Below are 27,307 nucleotides of genomic sequence, written 5' to 3'. Positions count from 1 at the left end.
GACATACAGTTAAATTCTAGCTAGCATATTTACTAACACATTTCTTAAAATGAAGCAAAAATATAGGAAGCCAGTAATCACAGCATTATTTTCCTTTAAACTCTTACTTTTGATTCATCTAGAATTATGATTACAGGAAGTGCAGAATTTCCTGGAAAATAATCATTACTTACACCAATAATCACATTTCCAAAAATCAGCAGGCCCTGGAAGCAACGAACAGTTGAGTTGTCTTTGGCCATCTTCGGGATTTCCCACAAGCTGAAGGCACTGTTGAAAGCATTACCAAATAACTGCTACAGTTTCTGTAACATGAGTAAACCAAGCCATTGCGTATTGCCTCCTTGTTCCCAAAGCATCCAAACCAAAGCCATATAATCTTTTAGCGATGAAGGACATTTGATTATTGAGCTTGGTAATCACATAACTTTTATAAAGAATGAAAAGAATATAGCCTTCCAGAGCCTGGTCAGTGCCTTTCAGGAGTTCTTTCAGGCAAGGAGTGTGCAGAATGCATCCTTCTGAGTGGTGGACTGAGCCCCGCAAGGTGGAATGCACAAGGGGTAGACCTGAGATGGTGATTGGGTAGGGCCAAACACACTGAGGGTCCCTGGCATAGCCCTCACTGCCCTTGGCCATGACAAATGGAAACCCAAAGGGTAAACTCATGGCCAGAGGTAGTGGTTGGTTCCCATGTGGACTGCAGGGTGCTTTTAAAAACTATCATTTTCTGACTCTTTTATTATCTTCAAAGAAATAGTTGGCAAATAAAAAAGTGCCCCGTTGTATATGAGGGTAAGTGAAAACGGGGACTAGAATTTACTTCCTTCTGCCAGGTGTGTGCCACTCTACCAGGTGCTTTGCATGCACGCATCTAATTCTCATAACCCAGTTCGGTAGCAAAAGAAGAAAGGCGAGGAGGCTCCATTTTGCAGATGAGGAAACTAAAGCTTAAATTTGTAAATTAAGTTCCCTGGGGTCACACAACCAGTAAGTGGCAGAGCTAGGCTAGAGACCTTGGTGTGTGTGACTCCAGAGTCCACGTGCTTCCCCACAGCCCACAGTGACTCCCAGAAACTATGTATAGACTTTGGTGCCATACACAGCTGAACATGGGTCTCTCACCTCCCTGAGGATTTTCTGGAAGGAACACAAAGGTAAGTGTGTGGGTCAATCACTTGGGCTTCTGCACTTGAAGCACCTTGAGAAAAGCCATCTACAGCTCTCAACATTTAATTAATCAATTCATGCATTCCTGCTGTAAATAAAAAATGTATTAAATGGTTCAATATGCATTCTGAGGCATACAAAGATATGTAAGGGAGATTATTGTATTCTAGGATTTTTTGCGTTAGTAGGGAAACTAAGATGCATTCCCACACAATTATACTACATGTAGTGAGATGAAATATTGTGAGAGTCCTGAGGCGGGAAGACGTAAGTCTTGCAGGATGTGTATGGTTTGATATGTAGAGTAGAGGTGGATATGTGTGGGAGTGAGGTGGGGGTGGGTGACATTCCAGGTAAAGAGAAAGGAAAAGTTAGGGAGTAGAGACAGAAGAGCAAGGTGCCCACAAGATAGCAAACCAGTCAATTTGGTCAAAGTCCTAGTTTTGTAGGGTAGCAGTGGGAGGCAAACCTTCTATTTGTCTCAAGCCTTGCTAAATTTTAACCTCATTGTTACACTGTAAGTATTAACAACCTTCCAAGTAAGTTTAGACATCTCTAAATGTTTTCCTTTATCTGTTTACCTGGGTAGCTGTGACAAGTTCAGTTAAAATTTATGAGCACTTTTAGCTCAGAATTTGGCACACAGTGGGTACTCAATTCATGTTTGCTGGAGAAATGGAAGAATCTGGGCCATTGCGTCTCTGTGTAGTTTCTGCTTAGAAATGCCATTCATTTCTTTCTGCTTAGAAATTTCATTCATTCTTTCCAGTTATTGTTGCGTGTTAGACTGCACAAACTCCCCCAAGGGGGAAACTTACTCATGTAGCTGGTTGAGTCACATTGTAAAGTTCATTACTGGTATGTACAGACATTATTCCTGACCAGTTGGGTTAGTATCTAAACTAGAGACAAAAGTAAATAGACTGTGAAACGTAGGAGTTCAGATAACAGAAGCATAGAGAGGAAAGGGCAGAAATCAGTAGAGGCCAAATTCAGCACCGATATCAACTCGTACTGATTATGTACTGTGTGAAATAAGACAATTTCTTCTTTCAAGAAGTTTATTTTTATTATTATTATTATTTTTTGAGACAGAGTCTTGCTCTGTTGCCCAGGCTGCAGTGCAGTGGCACGATCTTGGCTCACTGCAACCTCCGCCTCTCAGGTTCAAGCTATTGTCCTGCCTCAGCCTCCCTAGTAGCTGGGACTACAGGTGCCCACCGCCACACCTGGCTTTTTTTTTTTTTTTTGTATTTTTAGTAGAGATGGGGTTCCACCATATTGGCCAGGCTGGTCTCGAACTCCTGACCTTGTGATCTTCCTGCCTTGGCCTCCTAAAGTGCTGGGATTACAGGCGTGAGCCACTGCGCCTGGCCTCAAGGAGTTTAAAGTGCAATTACAGCGTGGGTTCAAAGGAAAAATGACCGTGCACATCAAGGGGACAAGGAGGGCTGTGGAGAAAGACAGAGGCACCGCTGAGGGGCTTTATTGGTCCAGAAAGGAACTGCAGGGGCCCCGATCAAGGGAGGTGGCCTGGGTGACCCAATTATGCCCCGTGACGTACAGACTTTTCCAGAGATGACTCTGCCACACAGAGTTTAGACAAAGGGGAAAGAGCAAATGAATATTCTATGGGAGAATTGCAGGAGTCACAATTAGGGTGGAAAACGCAGATAAAAGTGGGAGAAAAGAAGGAAGGTAGAAACTTGCTCTGAGCAAAAAGAAAAGCATAAATTGAAGAAACCTAGGCAAGGACATGACAGAAATGCCAGGGAGGCAGCCCAGCTGTGGGTTGGTTATTGGAAGGTGGTGATATGTCAGTGGGCAAGATATTCTGAATTTTCTGGCCACTAAAATGTTCTCCTTTTTCACTATGCATTCTCTTCTTCTCCCTTAGGCCTTTGGTATCAATGGCACATGATAATTTAGCTACTCCTGTCTTCCAAGATAAGGAAATAGTGATGAAAACTGCCATTTATTGGGCACTTACAATGCTCTGGGCACTATGTTAGGCATTTGATATTCATCTTCTCAACAGACCTGAGAGATGGGTTTTTCAGGTCTGCATTTCCTATTGCTGCTGAAACAAATTACCACGAACTTCGTGGCTTAAAATAACAGAAATGTATCTTACAGTTCTGGAGGGCAGAGGTCTAAAATGAGTCTCACCAGGCTAAAATCAGGGCTATGTTGCTTCTGAAGGATCTAGGGGGAGAAGCTGTTGTCTTGCCATTGTTTGTATAAAGAAAAGGGGCCGGGCATGGTGGTTCACGCCTGTAATCCCAGCACTTTGGGAGGCTGAGGTGGGCAGATCACCTGAGGTGAGGAGTTCGAGACCAGCCTGGCCAACATGGCAAAACCCCGTCTCTACTAAAAATACAAAAATTAGCCGAGCATGGTGGCGGGTGCCTGTAATCCCAGCTACTTGGGAGGCTGAGTCAGGAGAATCGCTTGAACCTGGGAGGTGGAGGTTGTGGTGAGCCATGATTGGGCCACTGCACTGGGCAACAGAGCAAAACTCCATCTCCAAAAAAAAAAAAAACAAAAAAAAAGGGAAGCTTGGAGAGATTAATTTGCCCAAGGCCACATTGCTAGAAAGTGCAGAAGCTGAGACTGAAACACAGGTCTGCCTGGCGCCAGATCATTTGCTAAACACTCTACAGTTTATAAAGTCTTGCTACATAGCAAATGCTTTCAGTAGAAATAGAAACACCTGGAGTGGAGAGAACAGACACATTTCCCTGCTCAGGAGACTCTACCTTTGCAAAGGTCAGAAACACTAGGCTTTTCTTCACTTACATCTCCAGCTTCTTGTCTCTTTAGCCCCTGGACACGATGCTCATATTTGCATATTTCCCCCAAACTCAGTGCTGTACCCACATGCTTTTCCAGAAAACCTGTCTGGATGTATCAAAAATCTACAGCTCATCCACCTACCCCCAAGACCAGAATTCTTAGAAGTAAAATGTGCAATGTGCAAGTCAATGAGAGGTTAGCATTTCATAGCTTCTACTTGGCCACTTGTATTTTAGACTAGGTTGGTGTCCAGAGGACCTAAAACATTTGCTGCATCCCCCAAATGGCCACAGATGTCAAGAGGGAGCCAAGTGTAGGCTTCCAGTGGCTCACAGCATAGTCTAATATCTGTAGTATAATGGTGACCACACTGGACTTGGCATCAGAATGCCAGAGTTCAAGTCCCAGCTTTGTGCTGTCATTATCATTACTGTGTAAAGTTGGACAATGTTTTCCTTAGTATCTACTTCCTCGTTTATAAAATTAGTAGACAATAACTTGTTAGATGGAGTTGCTGTGATCACTAAATGAGATAAAAGATACAAAAGTAATAGGTAAGCACTAAGATTGTTTACACATATAAGAAACTATTAATTATAACCAGAGGATATTTAGGAAGGGCAGGGTATTGGGTTATGATTTTGTTTTATATATCAGTGACCCCAGGGGGATAGAAGGGAGGTTTTAACAGTGACTGGTCTCACAGCCAAGGGCTCTTAGATTGAGGAGAAGCAGCCTTCCTTCCACCTTCCCTCTGTTCACTGCACAGGGGCTGCTCTGCTCGAGGGACCAGGAGGGCTTACACAAGATACCCATTTGTACTTCTTTTTATTTTCCATAGATGAATTCATGAGAGAAAAGGAAAAACACTTCCTAGTTGTGCTTGGGGTGCGGCCAGAGTCAGGTACCAAGCTGCACATCCACATGGGAGGGGCCCGCCTTGCATGCCATTAGCATTCCTGAACAGTTAACACTCGCCATTGGGCCTCATCCCTCTGCCTTTGGCCAGCTCTAAGGCCTCTGCCCCACACTGCAAGTTGATGCAGAGATGGCCCCTGAGGTTGTCCTTGTCCTGGGGCCACTTTCTCCCTGACACAGACATTACTCAGAGAGTATTCTGCTCTGCTGCCCTTTTGCATTCTTTCCTCCCATTGCCAACCTGTGAAGGGCATCCTGCACTTTATTGCAAGAGTCTCCAAAGTAGGAGGAGGCATTTGGGACCCTGTTTTATTTGTCTTTCTAGGTCCAAAGTGGCATAGTACCTGACATGTAGTAGGCGCACTCAATTGTTTTGCTAAATAAAAAGATAAAGTAAATAAATAATGTTTATTTGAATAAATGAGTGTGCAGATTAATAATTTGCCTAGAACTTTGTTGAAGAGCAAGTTAGAGAATATGGTGAAGTGGAACGAATGTGGGCTTTGGATAGACCTGGGTTTGAATCTTAGCTCTACCACTTACTAGTTTTGTGACCCCAAGAAGTTACTTAATCTTCTCGAGCTTTATCTTCAAATGAGTATAGTAATACTTAACTTCAAGGGTTACTATGAAAATTAAATGAGAATATATGTGAAGTTTTAATACAATATTAGTTACCCAATACTAATTTTGCTTATTTTTGTCTTATAAAGGAGACAGACTAGAGCTAATAGCCCAGTGGTTGGTGAAGGTACCTAAAACCAGTGGTTTATTATTATTATTTTTTTGATACAGAGCAACATTTTCAAAGGAAATAGGGAAATATGATTTCAGTAGGGAACTCTAATATATGAAATCAGATCAGAATGGTACTTCTCTGGCTGAAACGAGAGTAGGAATCCTGGGCTCACAGAGCATCTTCTCACCAGCTCTAAACCTCCTAAACACATAGCTAGCCCCAGAACGATTGGAAACTACTATTCTAGAGCTAAAGGAAAAGAAAGAAATAGGCAAATTACTGAGCTCAGAAGACAGTTACCCAAGAAGTAAGAGGACACTCAAAAGTGATGTTGAAAAACTGGTCACAACGTGTAAGCTGACCTTACAAAGTCTGTGTCAAAGACTTCCCCCTGCCCCTCATTCAATGGAAGATGTCTAGAAAAGTCCTGGAAAACTGAGACAAGTGAGTTTACTTTTATAATACATTAGCTGGATGGATCTTTAGGAAGAGCTGCTTTCCTGGCACACTTAGAGGAAAGGTGACATAATTTCTACAAAAGGAAAAGATCAGGCCTGGCTGATGTTTAGGGTTCTTTGAAGATTAATAAATGCCTGTGCATAGGGGTAGAGTAATGCACTTTTTTTTAGGTTAAAAAAGAAAAGCTTTGACACAGTTCCACACTAATGGATATTTAAAAAAAAAAAAAGACATTATGAATTTGTTGACCTTTCCATAGAGGATAGGCACGGAGAAAGAACAAAAGGGAAGGACAAATGGTGACTTCTCTATACACAGAATATAAACTGTGGTGTTCTCTAGGGCTTGGTAGTAGTTTTGCCTTTGTTAATAGCTTCTTGAGTTTTGTCTCTGCCTGCCTGATAAAGAAGTATTGTAATGAACACCTTGCGCTGGTTAATTTTGTATGTCAACTTGGCTGGGATATGGTGTTTGGTCAGTATCAGTCTAGATATTGCTGGGATATGGTGGGATTGGCTTGGATATGGTGTTTGGTCAGATATCAGTCTAGATATTGCTGTGAAGATATTCTTTAGATGTGATTAACGTTTAAATCAGTAGACTTTGAGTAAAGCAGTAAAGCAGATTACCCTCCATAACGTGGCTGGCCTCCTCCAATCAGCCGAAAACCTTAAGAGCAAAAACTGATGTTTCCTGAAGAAGCAGCATTTCTGCCCTAAGAGGACTGTAACAGAGAAACTCTTAAGTTTTCAGTATGCAGATTTTAGGTTTAAGTCTGCAACATCAGGCCAAGCGCGGTGGCTCACGCCTGTAATCCCAGCACTTTGGGATGCTGAGGTGGGCAGATCACCTGAGGTTGGTAGATCACCTGAGGTTGGTAGTTCGAGACCAGCCTGACCAACACGGAGAAACCTCGTCTCTACTAAAAATACAAAATTAGCTGGGGGTGGTGGCGCATGCCTGTAATCCCAGCTACTCAGGAGGCTGAGGCGGGAGAATCGCTTGAACGGGAGAGGCGGAGTTTGCCATGAGCCGAGATTGCGCCATTGCACTCGTCTCAAAAAAAAAAAAAAAAAAAAAAAAAAAAAAAAAAAAAGCCGGGCGTGGTGGCTCACGCCTGTAATCCCCGCACTCTGGGAGGCCGAGGCGGGTGGATCACGAGGTCAGGAGATGGAGACCATCCTGGCTAACACGGTGAAACCCCGACTCTACCAAAAATACAAAGTTAGCCGGGCGTGGTGGCAGGCGCCTGTAGTCCCAGCCACTTGGGAGGCTGAGGCAGGAGAATGGCGTGAACCCGGGAGGCCGAGCTTGCAGTGAGCCAAGATCAGGCCACTGAACTCCAGCCTGGGCGACAGAGCGAGACTCCGTCTCAAAAAAAAAAAAAAAAAAAAGACTGCAACATCAACTCTTCCCCAAATTTTCAGGTTGCCCACCTGCTGTATAGATTTCGGACTTGTCAGCCCCCACAATCACATCACATAGGTTAATTCCTTAGAATTAATATATATATATATATATATATATATATATATATATATATATATATCTCCCTCTCTCTCTCTCCCTCTCTCTCTCTCAACAGGGTCTTTGTGTGTCACCCAGGGAGTGCAGTGGCACAATCATATCTCACTGCAGCCTTGACTTCCTAGGCTCAAGTGATCCTCCTGCTTCAGCCTCCCAAGTAGCTAGGACCACAGGTGCATGCACAATGTCTGGCTAATTTTTAAATTTTTTGTAGAGAAGGGGTTTCATCATGTTGCCCAGGCTGGTCTTGAACTCCTGTCCTCAAGACTTGGCCTTCCAAAGTGTGGAGATTATAGGCGTGAGCCACCATACGTTGCCTCTCTCTCTCTTTATGTATCTCCTTTTGGTTCTATCTCTGAAAGAACCTTGAGTAACACACCATCCCAATTGGGATTGATGTATATTTTTGATAGAAGCACATATGATCATTTTCTGATGTCTCCTGATACCATTTTACCAATTCCCACTGCCAGCCCCTAACTTCTGGATCAGATGAATTAAACATTTTCTGTTTCCATTCCATACAGTGCTTCCATGGTGAACTTTCTCAAGCAGAGGTTCTCAAATGATCCTCCAAAACACAGATGTTCCATTTACTGGGACAACATGTTTTGATGCCAATATTGAATGATTCCAGTCATTTCCTAATTTGAGGAAAAATTACTATAAAAATTTGTGATTTTAAACATTTTCCTCTTACACATTTTTCTTAAATTGTGGATGCTACTACCACCTGTCTATGCTAAAATCTAGTTTTTGGTATGAATTTAGGCCAAAATGATCTACTTACTTATTTTAAATTTAGTAGACCAAAATTTTCTGGTATTCTACAAAGATAAACATGGCTTCCAAGTGCCAGCCACTTAGCCAATCTTGAGATCCACTGTCCTAAAACACAGCTCTGAATTTATATCTCCCCCCTGCTTAGAACCCTTCAAAGGTTCCCTGTAGCCTAAATTCAAAGGAGAGCCCTCGGTCATTCCCTCTGCACTTACAAGCCCAGCCACCAGCTCCTACTTACTTCCTATTGCCAGGTTCATCACTTGTCCCCCCACTCTCTGTTGCTGACCAGTTTCTTTGAATCCAGATTTGCTCCTGTTCCCTTCTGAAAGACCAGTCTATAGTATTTGGCCAGACCCAACTATTATATTTTCCATTCAGCCAGTGGAGGAGTGGTTGGACCACCTAAGAGATAAAGTACAAACTCCTCAGTGTGTATTCAAGGCAGCACCCATCCAGGTTCTAAATGGCCTGCCTGCCATTTTTCACTGCGTGCCCCACCCCCCCAACCCTTTGGTGTCCTGGTCATGCCACCATGCTGTGCTTAGGGTGTCCCTGTCTTTGGAATCCCTTCTCCCATTTCTGCCTATCGAACTCTTTACCACCTTCCGAAGCCCAGCTGAAAAACCTCTTCTCTCCTCAACTTCTCTTACCCAGAATTATCCTTCCTTCCCTATATCCCTCTCTCTGCCTATAGCAAATAGCTCTCCAGGGAAGCTGAAACCATTGTGGATATGTGTTTATGGCTTTTCTTCCATACTAGCCTCTGCCACAGCAATATAGTCTGGTACGTTGTTACGTCTTTTCTTCACCCAAGTTTGTTTAATAAGATATTCTGAAGCCACAAAAATTGGATTGCTGTGCATCAAAAAAGCCAATTTAACAAATAATTGCATTAAAAAGCAAAATTATAAACTTTTAAATTAATTGACGGGTGTCACACTTAGAAGTCAATGACTACACTTTTGGTAGTTTTTGTTTGTCTTAGAAGATATGTAATTTGAGAGACATTAAAGTGTCATTCATCCTAGGACAGTTATTGGCCAGGTGCCTGTTCACGGCATGATACATCAGTTCTGGCTGCAAACTTGGAGGCTTTGTACAGGTGAGAAATTTAAGGCTCACAGAGAGAAAGTGACTTGTTCACGATCATGATGTGTTATTAAAAGAGTTAAGATTCAAGTCCAGGTTTCCTAACTCTTAACCCAGCCTTCTATGGGGTTTGTCACTAATGATTATTCTTTTTAAGGTAGGGAGATCCACTTCCCTTTACGTCTTTTTAAATTAAGAGAAACTCTTGACCTCCCACCTGTGAGCCTACCCATGAGACTCACTACAAGATAAGCCAGAAAGGGAGCCACATAAACAAAGCTGGCAGGGAGAAAGCCTTCTATCCTTTTCCTTCATTCAAAGGCTTCCTCACCGTTTACCCTAACTTCTGAATGCCACAATTTGAGACTCACTCCTTCATTCCTGATTAAAATGCAAGCTCATATAAAAGAGGCACATTGAGTTTCATGAGCCATCCATGTCAATGCCTCATTTATCAGCTCCCTTCTCTTATTTAATTTTCAAAGGGCGAGGGAAGACACCATGAGAAGGAAAGAGACCCAAGGAGAGGGTAGAACCTAAAAAGACAAACCTCGTAACTTATGATTTGGGGGTTTGGGTCTGTCTCTCTGGCTATACTGACTTCTAATGATATGATGTGTCCTCTTTCCTGCCTTCTCTTTTAGCCCACAGTATGTAGAAACTGTTTTAGATATGTGGTCTTCTGAACCCTCCCCACGTTATTCTAAAACAATGCCTCCCTGACTATATTGGATTACTTATCTGGCAGGGGTGGGAAGGAAACCAATGGGATGAGTTACATTTAACAAGTGGAAAGCGGTGGAAGGCAGAGGGCAGAGCAGCAACTGCCCGCGTTAGAGATGGAACGCCCCAGACTGAAAGTACGCAACTCACCTCGAAATATTTTCCATGTAAAGGAATAGCCCCTGTGCACCCCGCCCTGTGGGAAAACTGCCCTGTGGCCTGGTATGATGATGATTTACTCAAATTGCTCAATACCCTGGGAGTTCCTTTGCTTTAAAGAGTGCAGATTTTTTTAAAGCTAGAATTATATTTCTTGTTTTTTCTTTATTGTGCTTTCACTCAGTTTGTTTTCCTATAAAAATTAATCATACCCGTAGTGTTGATGTTTCCAGACACATTGAAAGGTCTAAAAACAATTGCTCACTAAACAAACCAATTTGCAAAGCAGAAGAAAAAGAAGTGAGACTCGCCCAGTAAGCATGAGATCATTTTTTCAAGTTCATTACCTCTTTTCCTCACCCAAGTTTGTTGTACCAGAGAACACACAAACCACACCTCAAACTTTAGTTCATGCTAGAGAAATTTGAATTAACAAAGGAGAAAAAAAGAAAAGGAAAAATAGGAGAGGAAGAAACAAAGAAACACAATATGCGATTGCCTTAGCCCTCACCCTGAAACTCAGCACAAGAACAGACACTTCCTTGGCTCAGAGTAAAGATGGGTGTGGAGATTGTAGGTCACAACAATTGCTGGTCTGCTTCAACTTAAGGTAGGATAAGTCCCTGGAAATAACAAAAAGAGGAGGTTTCTCCCAGGGCTGTCACCCATGGCTCACAGTGCCCATAAGTTTTTCTTGCTTTAAAGCTCTAAACCTGTGTTGACTAATACAGTAGTTAGTAGTTGCATGCAGTTATTTAAAGTCAAAAGAATTCAATTAAATAAAAGTAAAAATCAGTTCCTCAGTTGCTCCAACCACATCTCAAGCACTCCCTAGATACATGTGGTTAGTGTCTATTATCTAGAACATTTCCCTCATCACAGAAAGTTTTACTGGACAGCACTGCTCTTGATTCCTGGTGCTCCCAGTATGATGGGAGTCATCCACCCATTGGAAATCAGGGACTAGCTGTAAGCAATGGCTCAGGAGCACTCAGTTGCACGAGGGCCTCAGGTGTGGGCATTGCCAGAGAGATGCCCAGCTCCAGGGCAGGAGTACTATGGAGAGTCCTTGGGGCGGGGGGGAGGGGGTGGGCAGGCGGGTAGGGCGGTGTGTGATGATGGTGCCCCCTCACCAATGTGGTCTCTGTCCCAGTTGGTGAATGGTGGCCCATCAAGTTTGTGGGCAGCCTGCATGGCTATCAGGCACAAATTCCAGAGCATATTTAAAGGCTGGCTGGTGTTTACTCTGGTTAAGATTGTAAGCAGGAGAAGTCAAAAAGAAGTTCTGAGTTTTGGCCGGGTGCGGTGGCTCAAGCCTGTAATCTCAGCACTTTGGGAGGCTGAGGTGGATGGATCACGAGGTCAGGAGATTGAGACCATCTTGGCTAACACGGTGAAACCCCGTCTCTACTAAAAATACAAAAAATTGGCCGGGCGTGGTGGCAGACACCTGTAGTCCCAGCTACTCGGGAGGCTGAGGCAGGAGAATGGCATCTACCCGGGAGGCAGAGCTTGCAGTGAGCAGAGATCACGCCACTGCACTCCAGCCTGGGCCTCAGAGTGACTCCGTCTCAAAAAAAAAAAAAAAAAAAAAAAAAAAAAAAAAAAGAAAATAAAAGAAAAAAAAAGTTCTGAGTTTCTTTTTTTTCCCCTTGATTAAATGATGTCTAAGGTCCCCTTTGGATGTAAAAGTCTATGATTCTTCCCAGCAGTTAAAAAAAAAAAAAATAGGTGAGTTGATTTTAAAGACTATTTTATAGCAGAAAGCAAAACAATCTGTTGGAGCAGAAAGCAAAGTAAGAAATTTTTCTCCTCACTGAGAAGGTTAATAAAAAGAAAATCCACTTCTTCATAGGGTCTGAAAACTATGTAACCTAAATTTTGTTTATACTCAAAGTATGTATATCTATAAAACCTAATGAGTTCTTTCCTGTTGTGCTTAGCAACTCAGGCAAGAAATGTTCAAGAAACGTTGTCTTTCATTAAAAGAAGACATTCAAGTTAACAAAACTTCTTTAAAAATTTATTTTTATTTTTTTTAGAGACAGGATCTCACTATGTTGCCCAGCCTGGACTAGAACTCCTGATCACGTGGCCTCAGCTTCCCGAATAGCTGGAACTGCAGGCATGTGCCACTGTGACTGGCTACGAATTCTTAAATGGCTTAAAAATCTTTAAAACTAGTTAGAAGTGGAGTTTTAGGTTTATAAACAAATGCAAACATAAAATAATACTAGCATTATTTGAAACTTAAATTTGTATTTTGTGTGAAAATGTGATCAGAATGAAAAATATCTTTATGTCCTGCAGATCATGGTGGAGCAAAGAATTGGTAAGGAGTAAAAACAAATTATGTAAAAATAACATTGCGTAGATAAAGCTACTTTGTTGACTTACTTCAACTGACACATTTATTAAGCAGAAGTGTTTGCAGAGAATAACTGGGAGTAAATTGCTTCACACATTTCATTACAGGTTGGCAGGACCAAATGATTTCTGACAAGAAGACCAAGAAACTTTCTCTCTGCTAGCCTGAACAGATTATTAAGAAATAACACGAGCTATTTCGTTAAACTTTCTATTGCTTTTCTGACTCCACAAGGAAATTGGGGGTCTACAAAGGTGACTGTCTATGTGCGATTTAATCAGGAGATATAGGGTTTCTCGGGGTGCTTGGATTTTCTTGTTCTTTCTGTGGGGATATCTGAGGTTGAAAGCAGGATGGCTGCGTAATATCTCCAGAAGTTTAATGAGAACAAGACTTATATCAAGGGTATTAAGAAAGCAATTCCAACGGTTCAAAGTAAAAGAGAACAGGACAGTCACAATACCCTAAATTACAAAGAAAAAAATGACAGACTTTATGAATCAAGAATCTAACTTCTTCCCCTTTCCCTCCCAGTCTGCTAGCTTCCCTCCCAGGAGAGCAACCCAGCCCTTGAGCCCGGGAGATTCCCTGCAGAGGGAAAGCGGTCTACTCACAGCGCCTCCTCTTTCTGCGCACACGGTAGGGCCCGCTCCGCAGTCTGCACCCGACCCAGGTGCTTTTCTACCCTCCTGCAATTCTTTGAACCTCCAGGACCAGGGAAGGGTAGTCTGTGATTGGCAGGAGGCACCTCACATGGGCTGAGCTTTCCGCTGCCTGCCCTGCCTCGCTGAGGCGGGGGAGTAACCGGAGGCTGTCAGTTGATTTCTGCTGCTTTGGAATGTGTGACTCTGACAGATGGAAGCACCTTGACAGCCACACTCATCGCTTTCCTGGATCCCTCCTAGGTTTGGGCTTTACTGGAATACAAACTCAGGGATTTTATTTTGATTTGATTTGATTTGATTTGTGTAATTTGATCCTTACTCCTGCTTTTGTGTGTTGAAGGCTTGTTAGTCCTGACCGCTCACAGCGATGCTGATATGTGCTTACCTGTGTAGGGCCATGTCCAGTTTTAGTTTCTATAATTTGCATATGCCAAATTCAGAGAGACAGTAATTGCCCAAGTAATGCTCATACTGTAGGTGGCCCAAAGACTGATAAGGAGCAAGAGATGTGGAAAGAAACAGATTGGGAAAAATTCACGGAGAGAGAGGGCTCAAGTGATTATCTGATGTCCAATTCTTCCCTCCCCTCTTCTTCCCTCCCTTTCTCTTCTCTTCCCTTCCCTTCTTTTTTCCTTCTTCCCTGACTTCTGGAGCCATCATGTGTTATACATGGCACCCAGAACATTATTTTAATGGCTGCATAACCTATCATGGTATACATGCGCCATCGCTTGTTTAACCTGAGTTAGGAATCGGTAACTGCAGTAATGTTAGAATTTACTGAGTGCTTTTACCAATAGACTTGGGAGTTCCTCAAAGGTCAGCATCATCTCTGTTGCAGGTTAGGTTGTTCAGGAGCAGACTTTGAGACAAAATTTAGTGTGCAATATATTTATTAGACAGTGCCCTGAGATTAACACCCATGGCAGGGAGAGGGGAGAAACAGGACTGGGCAGAGGAAGAAGTTGAGCTGCAATATAGATGGGACAGTCTTAAGCAGCCCTCCTCAGGAAACTCTGGAGGAAGATGGCCTGTCAGAGTAGCTCTGACACTGGGCTCCTCTATGATCTGCCCTTCAATGTGGATTACCCTGGGAAGGCAGCTTTCTGTAGCTGAGGCAAGTCCTGAAAGGGGCTGATAACTGGAGGCTGGAGGTTGCAAGTACTCCCAGCAGCAGGGCAACCTCCCACTTCAAGGGGGACTGCATGGAGCACCTCTGTGTCCATCACAAGGCCTTATTCCTCTGCAGCTCTTCAGGGCCTTGTTAGATAAATTATCATATTTCACACAATAGAATTCTGTGCAATGGTTAAAAATGACACCACAGATAAACATTTAATGGTATGGAAATAAGTTCAGTCATTTATTTGACAAATATTTATTGAAAACTTAGGATGTGCCAGGCACTCTTCTAGAGGCTGAAAATGAAAAAGCGGTTTACAAAATAGTTTGTGTAATCTGACACATTTTAATTTTTAAGAAAGTTTACCTATGACTTAAAAAGTTAGAAATAGTATACAGCAAACATTAACCAGAATATATCTGAATGGTAAAATATGGGTGACTTTTACAGTCTTCTATTTTTGCAGTTCATATGTTTACAAAGGATCTATATTATAATTATAAGAACGTACAAGTTATTAAAAACATGTGCTGTCCTGGAAATATTTGTGATAAAGTAGCAAGGAAGCAAACAAGGACATGTGAATTTTCATTCATGTCTTAGGCATTTTATGTTCCATTACCATGATTATATGGGGAGAAAACAAAAAGATTTGAAAATCTTCAAAATAGATAATGTGAACACAAACCCAATAACAAGAGACAAGAGACTAGCTAGGAAAAGGAAGATTAGTTTTCAGATAATAACTGCAACTGAATAGTTGAGGAACGTCAAGTCGTTAATGTATGACAGGCTTATTTTTTTCCAGTTAATTTATTTCTAACTCTCTTCTGCTAATCTTCCTTTCTCTCTGGCTAGGTGGCTCCCTTACCCACATCTTAACCTGATTCCAAGCTCATCAGTGAATTCTCATTACTAATATCTCACTTCTGTTAGAAACACTTAGATATTTTCTTCCTATCACCACAATTCAAACTACAGACTCCAGTAGTTTTGGGGAGAAGTTGAGGTCTTTAATAACCCCCCAACTCCCTGTGTATGTTCATTTGAGAGGGAAATGATGTCGTCCTGTGTGAGTGGCCAGAGAGAGGCTCTATCCCTTTCTGTTGGCCATCCCCACTGTCTAGTTCACCACCACCAGCAGCAGTGTAGACAAGGGCAGTGCACAGGGCTGGCCGAGGAGAGCCCTACTGAACCCCACGAGTTCCTAAGCCTCAGAGGGTGCTCTGCCTCATTCATTGGTTTGCAGTCAGTCTTTGTCCTTCAATCTCACCTACCCTCCAGGACCCCAGTTCTCAGGTGGCTGGGTTCTACCTTCTGCACATCTCAGGAACCTAGAACTAAAGGTGGCATGCTTGTCCCCTTCTCTGTCGGGCCATACCACTGCACCATCACCCTCCAAAGCTTTTCCTTCTCTGTGGTAGTTCCAAGGCAAGTTAGCAGGCCTGGTGACTCATGTGATATTTAACTGGGCTAGAAGAATTGGTCCTACATACACACTCAAACTTTTCAGTCCTCATGAGGTTTTCCTCTGTCATCTTCGGGGCAAGGAACCACTGGAATGTTTGTCTTCTCTGCATTCCCTAACAGATCCCTCACTTCAAATTGACTTTCCTATGGCGAGGTAGGGAGTTATAGTGCAAACTGGGTGAGAAAGAGGCTGCCTCCCTACTGGAAGTTCGGAAAGTGGGTTATTTAATGCCTTTTGCTTTCTCTAGTTACCAATTTCAGCAAAAACACTTCTCAAAACATGATGTTGTCTACAATATTTTTAATATATAGTAAAAGTCCCAGGTACTGCCAAATTTACTCTTCACAATATCCCTTTTTTTTATTATTATACTTTAAGTTTTAGGGTGCATGTGTACAACATGCAGGTTTGTTACATATGTATACATGTGCCATGTTGGTGTACTGCACCCATTAACTCGTCATTTAGCATTAGGTATATCTTCTAATGCTATCCCTCCCCCGTCCCCCCACCCCACAACAGTCCCTGGTGTGTGATGTTCCCCTTCCTGTGTCCATGAGTTCTCATTGTTCAATTCCCATCTATGAGTGAGAACATGCAGTGTTTGGTTTTTTGTCCTTGAGATAGTTTGCTGAGAATGATGGTTTCCAGCTTCATCCATTTCCCTGCAAAGGATATGAACTCATCATTTTTTCTGGCTGCATAGTATTCCACGGTGTATATGTGCCACATTTTCTTAATCCAGTCTATCGTTGGACATTTAGGTTGGTTCCAAGTCTTTATTATTGTGAATAGTGCCGCAATAAACATACGTGTGCATGTGTCTTTATAGCAGCATGATTTATAATCCTTTGGGTATATACCCAGTAATGGGATGGCTGGGTCAAATGGTATTTCTAGTTGTAGATCCCTGAGGAATCGCCACACTGACTTCCACAATGGTTGAACTAGTTTACAGTCCCACCAACAGTGTAAAAGTGTTCTTATTTCTCCACATCCTCTCCAGCACCTGTTGTTTCCTGACTTTTTAATGATTGCCATTCTAACTGGTGTGAGATGGTATCTCCTTGTGGTTTTGATTTGCATTTCTCTGATGGCCAGTGATGATGAGCATTTTTTCATGTGTTTTTTGGCTGCATAAATGTCTTCTTTTGGGAAGTGTCTGTTCATATCCTTCACCCACTTTTTGATGGGGTTGTTTGTTTTTTCCTTGTAAATTTGTTTGAGTTCATTGTAGATTCTGGATATTAGCCCTTTGTCAGATGAGTAGGTTGCAAAAATTGTCTCCCATTCTGTAGGTTGCCTGTTCACTCTGATGGTGGTTTCTTTTGCTGTGCAGAAGCTCTTGAATTTAATTAGATCCCATTTGTCAATTTTGGCTTTTGTTGCCATTGCTTTTGGTGTTTTAGACATGAAGTCCTTGCCCATGCCTATGTCCTGAATGGTATTGCCTAGGTTTTCTTCTAGGGTTTTTATGGTTTTAGGTCTAACATTTATGTCTTTAATCCATCTTGAATTAATTTTTCTGTAAGGTGTAAGGAAGGGATCCAGTTTCAGCTTTCTACATATGGCTAGCCAGTTTTCCCAGCACCGTTTATTAAATAGGGAATCCTTTCCCCATTGCTTGTTTTTCTCAGGTTTGTCAAAGATCAGATAGTTGTAGATATGCGGCGTTATTTCTGAGGGCTCTGTTCTGTTCCATTGATCTATATCTCTGTTTTGGTACCAGTACCATGCTGTTTTGGTTACTGTAGCCTTGTAGTATAGTTTGAAGTCAGATAGCGTGATGCCTCCAGCTTTGTCCTTTTGGCTTAGGATTGACTTGGCAATGCGGGCTCTTTTTTGGTTCCATATGAACTTTAAAGTAGTTTTTTCCAATTCTGTGAAGAAAGTCATTGGTAGCTTGATGGGGATGGCATTGAATCTATAAATTACCTTGGGCAGTATGGCCATTTTCATGATATTGATTCTTCCTACCCATGATCATGGAATGTTCTTCCAGTTGTTTGTATCCTCTTTTATTTCATTGAGCAGTGGTTTGTAGTTCTCCTTGAAGAGGTCCTTCATATCCCTTGTAAGTTGGATTTGTAGGTATTTTATTCTCTTTGAAGCAATTGTGAATGGGAGTTCACTCATGATTTGTTTCTCTGTTTGTCTGTTATTGGTGTATAAGAATGCTTGTGATTTTTGTACATTGATTTTGTATCCTGAGACTTTGCTGAAGTTGCTTATCAGCTTGAGGAGATCTTGGGCTGAGATGATGGGGTTTTCTAGATATACAGTCATGTCGTCTGCAAACAGGGACAATTTGACTTCCTCTTTTCCTAACTGAATACCCTTTATTTCCTTCTCCTGCCTGATTGCCCTGGCCAGAACTTCCAACACTATGTTGAATAGGAGTGGTGAGAGAGGGCATCCCTGTCTTGTGCCCGTTTTCAAAGGGAATGCTTCCAGTTTTTGCCCATTCAGTATGATATTGGCTGTGGGTTTTTCATAGATAGCTCTTATTATTTTGAGATATATCCCATCAATACCTAACTTATTGAGAGTTTTTAGCATGAAGTGTTGTTGAATTTTGTCAAAGGCCTTTTCTGCATCTATTGAGATAATCATGTGGTTTTGGTCTTTGGTTCTATTTATATGCTGGATTACATTTATTGATATGCGTATATTGAACCAGCCTTGCATCCCAGGGATGAAGCCCACTTGATCATGGTGGATAAGCTTTTTGATGTGCTGCTGGATTCAGTTTGCCAGTATTTTATTAAGGATTTTTGCATCGATGTTCATCAAGGATATTGGTCTAAAATTCTCTTTTTTGGTTGTGTCTCTGCCAGGCTTTGGTATCAGGATGATGCTGGCCTCATAAAATGAGTTAGGGAGGATTCCCTCTTTTTCTGTTGACTGGAATAGTTTCAGAAGGAATGGTACCAGCTCCTCTTTGCACCTCTGGTAGAATTCGGCGGTGAATCCATCTGGTCCTGGACTTTTTTTGATTGGTAAGCTATTGATTATTGCCTCAATTTCAGAGCCTGTTATTGGTCTTTTCAGAGATTCAACTTCTTCCTCGTTTAGTCTTGGGATGATGTATGTGTCGAGGAATTTATCCATTTATTGTAGATTTTCTAGTTTATTTGTGTAGAGGTGTTTATAGTATTCTCTGATGGTAGTTTGTATTTCTGTGGGATTGGTGGTGACATCCCCTTTATAATTTTTTATTGCGTCTATTTGATTCTTCTCTCTTTTCTTCTTTATTAGTCTTGCTAGCATTCTATCAATTTTGTTGATCTTTTCAAAAAACCAGCTCCTGGATTCATTAATTTTTTGAAGGGTTTTTTGTGTCTCTATTTCCTTCAGTTCTGCTCTGATCTTAGTTATTTCTTGCCTCCTGCTAGCTTTTGAATGTGTTTGCTCTTGCTTCTCTAGTTCTTTTAATGGTGATGTTAGGGTGTCAATTTTAGATCTTTCCTGCTTCCTCTTGTGGGCATTTAGTGCTATAAATTTCCCTCTACACACTGCTTTGAATGTGTCCCAGAGATTCTGGTATGTTGTGTCTTTGTTCTCATTGGTTTCAAAGAACATCTTTATTTCTGCCTTCATTTCATTATATACCCAGTAGTCATTCAGGAGCAGGTTGTTCAGTTTCCATGTAGTTGAGCGGTTTTGAGTGAGTTTCTTAATCCTGAGTTCTAGTTTGATTGCACTGTGGTCTGAGAGACAGTTTGTTATAATTTCTGTTCTTTCACATTTGCTGAGGAGTGCTTTACTTCCAACTATGTGTTCAGTTTTGGAGTAGGTGTGGTGTGGTGCTGAAAAGAATGTATATTCTGTTGATTTGGGGTGGAGAGTTCTGTAGATGTCTATTAGGTCCGCTTGGTGCAGAGCTGAGTTCAATTCCTGGGTATCCTTGTTAACTTTCTGTCTCATTGATCTGTCTAATGTTGACAGTGGGGTGTTAAAGTCTCCCATTATTATTGTGTGGGAGTCTAAGTCTCTTTGTAGGTCACTAAGGACTTGCTTTATGAATCTGGGTGTTCCTGTATTGGGTGCATATATATTTAGGATAGTTAGCTCTTCTTGTTGAATTGATCCCTTTACCATTATGTAATGGCCTTATTTATCTCTTTTGATCTTTGTTGGTTTAAAGTCTGTTTTATCAGAGACTAGGATTGCAACCCCTGCCTTTTTTTGTTTTCCATTTGCTTGGTAGATCTTCCTCCATCCCTTTATTTTGAGTCTATGTGTGTCCCTGCACGTGAGATGGGTTTCCTGAATACAGCACACTGATGGGTCTTGACTCTTTATCCAATTTTCCAATCTGTGTCTTTTAATTGGAGCATTTAGTCCATTTATATTTAAAGTTAATACTGTTATGTGTGAATTTGATCCTGTCATTATGATGTTAGCTGGTTATTTTGCTCGTTAGTTGATGCAGTTTCTTCCTAGCCTCGATGGTCTTTACAATTTGGCATGTTTTTGCAGTGGTTGGTACCGGTTGTTCCTTTCCATGTTTAGTGCTTCCTGAGGAGCTCTTTTAGGGCAGGCCTGGTGGTAACAAAATCTCTCAGCATTTGCTTGTCTGTAAAGTATTTTATTTCTCCTTCACTTATGAAGCTTAGTTTGGCTGGATATGAAATTCTGGGTTGAAAATTCTTTTCTTTAAAAATGTTGAATATTGGTCCCCACTCTCTTCTGGCTTGTAGAGTTTTTGCTGAGAGATCCGCTATTAGTCTGATGGGCTTCCCTTTGTGGGTAACCTGACCTTTCTGGCTGCCCTTAACATTTTTTCCTTCATTTCAACTTTGGTGAATCTGAGAATTATGTGTCTTGGAGTTGCTCTTCTCGAGGAGTATCTTTGTGGCGTTCTCTGTATTTCCTGAATCTGAATGTTGGCCTGCCTTGCTAGATTGGGGAAGTTCTCCTGGATAATATCCTGCAGAGTGTTTTCCAACTTGGTTCCATTCTCCAAGTCACTTTCAGGTACACCAATCAGATGTAGATTTGGTCTTTTCACATAGTCCCATATTTCTTGGAGGCTTTGTTCATTTCTTTTTATTCTTTTTTCTCTAAACTTCTCTTCTCACTTCATTTGATCTTCCATCACTGACACCCTTTCTTCCAGTTGATCGCATCAGCTACTGAGGCTTCTGCATTTGTCACGTAGCTCTCGTGCCTTGGTTTTCAGCTCCATCAGGTCCTTTAAGGACTTCTCTGCATTGATTATTCTAGTTATCCATTCGTCTAATTTTTTTTCAAAGCTTTTAACTTCTTTGCCGTTGGTTCAAATTTCCTCCTGTGGCTCGGAGTAGTTTGATTGTCTGAAGTCTTCTTCTCTCAACTCATCAAGGTCATTCTCCATCCAGCTTTGTTACATTGCTGGTGAGGAGCTGTGTTCCTTTGGAGGAGGAGAGGCGCTCTGATTTTTAGTTTCCAGTTTTTCTGCTCTGTTTTTTTCCCATCTTTGTGGTTTTATCTACCTTTGGTCTTTGATTATGGTGACGTACAGATGGGTTTTTGGTGTGGATGTCCTTTATGTTTGTTAGTTTTCCTTCTAACAGTCAGGACCCTCAGCTGCAGGTCCATTGGAGTTTGCTAGAGGTCCACTCCAGACCCCATTTGCCTGGGTATCAGCAGCGGTGGCTGCAGAACAGCGGATTTTGGTGAACCGCAAATGCTGCTGCCTGATCATTCCTCTGGAAGTTTTGTCTCAGAGGAGTACCCAGCCGTGTGAGGTGTCAGTCTGCCCCTACTGGGGGGTGCCTCCCAGTTAGGCTACTCGGGGGTCAGGGACCCACTTGAGGAGGCAGTCTGCCCATTCTCAGATCTCAATCTGCCTGCTGGGACAACCACTACTCTCTTCAAAGCTGTCCAGAGAGGGACATTTAAGTCTGCAGAGGTTACTGCTGTCTTTTTGTTTGTCTGTGGCCTGCCCCCAGAGGTGGAGCCTACAGAGGCAGGCAGGCCTCCTTGAGCTGTGGTGGGCTCCACCCTGTTCGAGCTTCCAGCCTGCTTTGTTTACCTAATCAAACAACTAACTCATCAATGGCAGGTGCCCCTCCCCCAGCCTTGCTGCCGCCTTGCCATTTGATCTCGGACTGCTGTGCTAGCAGTGAGCGAGACTCCGTGGGCATAGGACCCTCTGAGCCATGTGCGGGATATAATCTCCTGGTGTGCCGTTTTTTAAGCCAGTTGGAAAGCGCAGTATTAGGGTGGGAGTGACCCAATTTTCCAGGTGCTGTCTGTCACCCGTTTCTTTTTTTTTTTGATGTTTTATAGTCGTCTGTTTCAGTGTGTCTCCCCTTTCTTTGACTAGGAAAGGGAATTTCCAGACCCCTTGCGCTTCCTGTGTGAGGCGATGCCTCGCCCTGCTTCAGCTTGCGCATGGTGCGCTGCACCCACTGTCCTGCGCCTACTATCTGGCACTCCCCAGTGAGATGAAACTGGTACCTCAGTTGGAAATGCAGAAATCACCCGTCTTCTGTGTCACTCACGCTGGGAACTGTAGACCAGAGCTGTTCCTATTCGGCCATCTTGGCTCCTCCTCACTGTGCTCTAGTTTATCTGTCACTGCTATCTCATCTGCTTTCTGTTATCAGAAATCATAAAAATCTCTGGTCTCTTTCTCTTCTGCTTTAAGTATTACAGTGAATTTACTTCCTTTTGTAAATCTTTACTGAAATGTTAGTGGAGTTTGAGGAGGATTTTTTCTTAAAAAATTAAAATACTGAATTAGGCAAACAATTTATTCTGCCTATTGGAATCCCCTAGGTGTTCATAATAATAGGCCACAGTACTACTCTCCATCTGGTATTAGATTGTTACAAATTCTGCAAACAGTATAAAAAAAATAGCCTGAGACTCTAAGGTACTAGCACACTGGCAATATTAGCATATTGTTTGTCTCTTATAAAAACACAGTGTTTTCTGAGTTTTATCCTTACAAATAAAAACACAGAGTTTTCTGAGTTTTATCCTTACAATGTTTCCAACCAAAAAATTGACATGAAGATTGAAGCATAGGCACAGAATCACCTGAAACCATACTTGTCCACATCCCTATACACACACATATATCTAGGCACATGTGAGCAGAAAACACTAACAGACATAATTACACTTACATACTCATAACTTATTCTCAAGAATAGGTGAGTTTGAATAGAGTTATTAAACAGGTTAAATACGTAAGAACAAAAGAAGATAGGTGGAGAAGAGTGGGTGAGTAGAGCTGAGAATGAGTTACTAGTCATGAAATACTACAAGGTTAATTTTAAAAATAAATCATATTCAAGAGACCAAAGACCAAAGAATAAAACAAGGGAATTTGTAAAGAGTAGGGGAAATAGGAGAATAATTCTCCTGGAAGGCTAAGATACTCTTGTTTTTGTTGTTTCTGAGTTTCACAACTATTCTTCTTCTTCCCTGTCATAAGGTGGAACTTAAAAATATTAACCTCGACATGTTTTAAAAATGGCTTTGTTTATATATAATTCATACACCATAAAATTAACCCTTTTGAAGTGTACAATTTAAGTGGTTTTTAGAATATTCACACTTACACAAATATTATCACTACCTAATTCCAGAATATTTTCTTCCCCCCAAAAGAAATCTCATGCCCATTAGCAGTCACTCCCTATTACCTGCTCACTGCAACCCCTGACAACCACTAATCTACCTATGTCCCTATGGATTTTCTTATTCTGGACACTTCATAGAAATGAAATCAAGTGGTTTTCTATGTCTGGCTGCCTTTATTTAACACAATGTTTTCCAGACTTATAAAAGTCATAGTTGTGTATCAGAACCTTATTCCTTTATATGGCTGAATAATAATCCATTGTATAGATATATCACATTTTTTCATTTTGAATTAAAAAATTTTTTGATTGTGGTAAAAACATAAAGTAAAATGTGCCATTATAACCATTTTAAAGTGTACAGTTGAGTAGTGTTAAGTATATTCACATTGTTGTGCAACAGATCTCCACAAAATTTTCATCTTGCAAAACAGAAAGTAAATCCATTAAATTGCTCCCTATTTGCCCTCCTCTTAGTCCCTGGTAATCAGCTTTCTGCTTTCTGTTTCTGTCAATTTGACTACTTTAGATACCTCATATAAGTAGAATCTCATAATATTTGCTTTTTGTGACTGGTTTATTTCATTTAGCATAATGTCCTCCAGGTTCACCTATGATGTAGCAATTGACAAGATTTCCTTCTTTTTTAAGGCTAAATAATATTCCATTGTATGTATAGACTATATTAAAAAATCCATTAATCAGTTGATGGATATTTGGGTTGTTTCTATTTTTTGGTTATTATGAATGCTGCTATGAGCATTCGTGAACAAGATTTTTTGTGGACATATGTTTTCAATTCTCTTGGGTATATACCTATGTATTAGTCAATTTTCATACTGCTGTGAAGAAATACGTGAGACAGGGTAATTTATGAAGAAAAAGAAATTTAATGGACTCACAGTTCCACATGGCTGGGAAAGTCTCACAATTATGGCAGAAAGAGAAGGAGGAGCAAAGTCATCTCTTACATAGTGGCAGGCAAGAGAGCATGTGCAGGGGAACTGCCCTTTATAAAACCATCAAATCTCATGAAAACTCATTCACTATCATGAGAACAGCATGGGAAAATCCTGCCCCCATGATTCAATCACCTTCCACCCGTCCCTCCTGTGATACATTGGGATTATGGGAGCTGCAATTCAAGATGACATTTGAGTGGGGACACAGCCAAACCCTATCAACCTAGGTGTAGAATTACTGTCATGTAATAACACAATGTTTCACTTTTTGAAGAACTGCAAAACTGTTTTCCAAAGTGGCTGCACCATTTTACATTCCACTAGCAGCGTATGAGGGTTCTAATTTCCCTATATCCTCACTGAAACTTACCGTCTTTTTGATTATAGTGAGTGTAAGATGATATCTCATTGTCGTTTTGATTTACATTTTTCTAATGACTAATGGTGTCATATTTATTCTTTAAATGGAAGAAGGGAGGAGAAAGATGAAGGAAAACTGCTCTAGTAGCTTTGCTATTACTGTGAGGAAATCAGGGTGGCTGGGGAATGATTTGAGGGAGGGTAATCAGAATTGCTCAGGTAAAATCCAATATTACTACCGTTGATAATATTACTAAAATAATCAGGACTAACAATGTCCATTACTGTTCTAAGTGTTTTTATAAACATCTCTAACAACACTTGAGGCACTTCATAGCTGTATGAAAAACCTGTTTTGCATAAGCTTCTTTAAAGGATTCCTTCAAGGGAGGTCATGTATTTTGATCTCCAGTTACTCTGACATTGAAACATTTATTTTCCTTTTATATTCGACATAGCCATCCACGTCCTCTTTCAGTTTTACTCCAAAAGGGCCAGTTCTAAGATGCCTCTTTCTCTTCTGCTTGATGGTAAGTTCCACCCAGATTTTTTAGTGTTTACTCCTGGCCTGGGACTACTTCCTTCCACTTAGGGACTAAGAGCTGAATACACTTTTAGCTGATTGGTCTTCTATATTAGATAGCTCTTTCAGTAGACAGCCTGAGTCATTGCATATGAAGCTTGATCTTCATTTTCTCCCTTTTCTTCTTAGACAAACATTTTCAGACAGGTTCACTGTACCATACCAAGCCCATCCCTCTTATCCGTTGCCTCATTCTGAAAGGTCAAAAATGAAGTTGTGAAAGGCATCCCAGAAGGCCAACAAGAAAGGCTGAAGTGGCTGGTGTGGTTGGGTCTCAAATGTTCTGCTTTAAGAAACATGGCAAAACGGTCTGGTCTTAGGATTGAAAACCAGTGAACTAAACTTAATCATTAATTTCATTTGTTGTTGATAACATTTGAGTTTTTGTCACTAAAATATTATTGGTCCATTTATCTTTGGATTATTTTATTCACCCAACTAATTGGTATGACCTTAGTTGTGTAACTCAAACTTTTCCCACAGGTTTACTGCAAGTTTATCAGCTTTCACCTAGTTTTGCCAGCCCACAGTCAACACAGCTCCTTATCTGTTTGAATGAGAACAATTTATTGAGTTTGAGCACATGTACATTTTGTGGACAACTGAAAAAAAAAACCAAGTAAACTTTGAAATTATAAAGTGATTTTTATATAATTTTAAGAAATGAAAGATATAAAAAAATAGAGTTTGTGTGTGATTGTTCAAGCAGAAACTTAATTTATTGTAATTCAACCATATAACAATACCAATTCATCAACTAAACATTGTAAAAACTCAAGTCTCCTGTAATGTTCAAATAGAAATTAAATGGAGGGTTCATATCACAAAAGTAGTATCAGATGATCATCTCAGTTATGATCTTTAGGCAGACACACTCATACCAGACAGACCAAGTTAAGAATTTTTGCATTAAAATACCAGTTGAACTGGTTATACATTCCACATGATGCAGATACTCTTTAAGGGAAAAGGTAATGAGAAAGTGATGTTCTGCCTCACCCACAGGTGTGTACGGAGCAGTATAACATGTTTGAGTTTTGCTGTAGGTTACAAATCAGAAGTGAGCTATCCATAGGAAAAGATTAGAATCACATCCACTAATGGCAGAATATAACAAACAAGGTTAAAGAAGAAACAGCAAAAATAAATAAGAGATATTACAACAATAATCTTTCATTAAGAAAAAAATGCTGTGATAAATTCTTTTTCACACATTTTTTGATTAGACATTTTGTAAATAGCTTGGAGACAGATTTATATGCTTTATAAGAAGTACATATAAATTGCTAGTTGTGATTTGTGGACTTATTCAGAGATTTAGGGGAATGAGTATTGAAATATCAATGCATGCATAAGTATAATGTGTATATTTTTGTATGATTATCCAGAGATATCTGTAATTGTTATGTAAATTTTACATAGATATTCTATAGATTTTTTACTTAAAAATTAATAATGCATTCAGGTAGAGTCACCACTAATGTCTATTCAAAACCATTTTTTTTTCAGATGGAAAACAGAACATAGTATTGACACATGATTGTAAACAATACTGAAGAGAGGCTCGTTCTTTGTAGATTTCACATTTTGTCTCTCTTTTTCATCATTTCCTGCACCTAGGGAGAATGAAAAACAATTTTTTTCCACTAGCAATTTTGGTTTACTTGGAATTACCATATTTTGTGAGGCTAAAATATGTAGAGATTCAAAATACAGAAATCCTTATATTGAGATGGTGCAAATAATTTGTACTTTGATACATCAAGGACATATGTTACAATCTCTGTGGGAACCATTATAAAATATCGTGAGGATTATAAGAGCAGTGACCA

At 40.8% G+C, this 27,307-nt stretch overlaps 1 protein-coding gene across 1 annotated transcript in view; it reads right to left on the bottom strand.

The window, feature by feature from the left end:
- Window positions 1–13,386, bottom strand: part of UPK1B (uroplakin 1B) — a 31,546-nt gene extending 18,160 nt beyond the window's left edge. Inside the window, exons 1-2 of the mRNA NM_006952.4 lie at window positions 13,346–13,386; window positions 174–270 (exon numbers count right to left, since the gene is read on the bottom strand). Coding sequence (NP_008883.2) covers window positions 174–242 — 69 coding nt within the window. The 5' untranslated portion in view covers window positions 243–270; window positions 13,346–13,386. The remainder of the gene's footprint in view (window positions 1–173; window positions 271–13,345) is intronic.
- Window positions 13,387–27,307: the final 13,921 nt, after the last annotated feature.

The sequence above is a fragment of the Homo sapiens genome, chromosome 3, assembly GCF_000001405.40.
Source record: "Homo sapiens chromosome 3, GRCh38.p14 Primary Assembly".
NCBI classification, from domain to species: Eukaryota; Metazoa; Chordata; class Mammalia; order Primates; family Hominidae; genus Homo; species Homo sapiens.
This window is presented reverse-complemented; position numbering and strand designations above follow the sequence as displayed.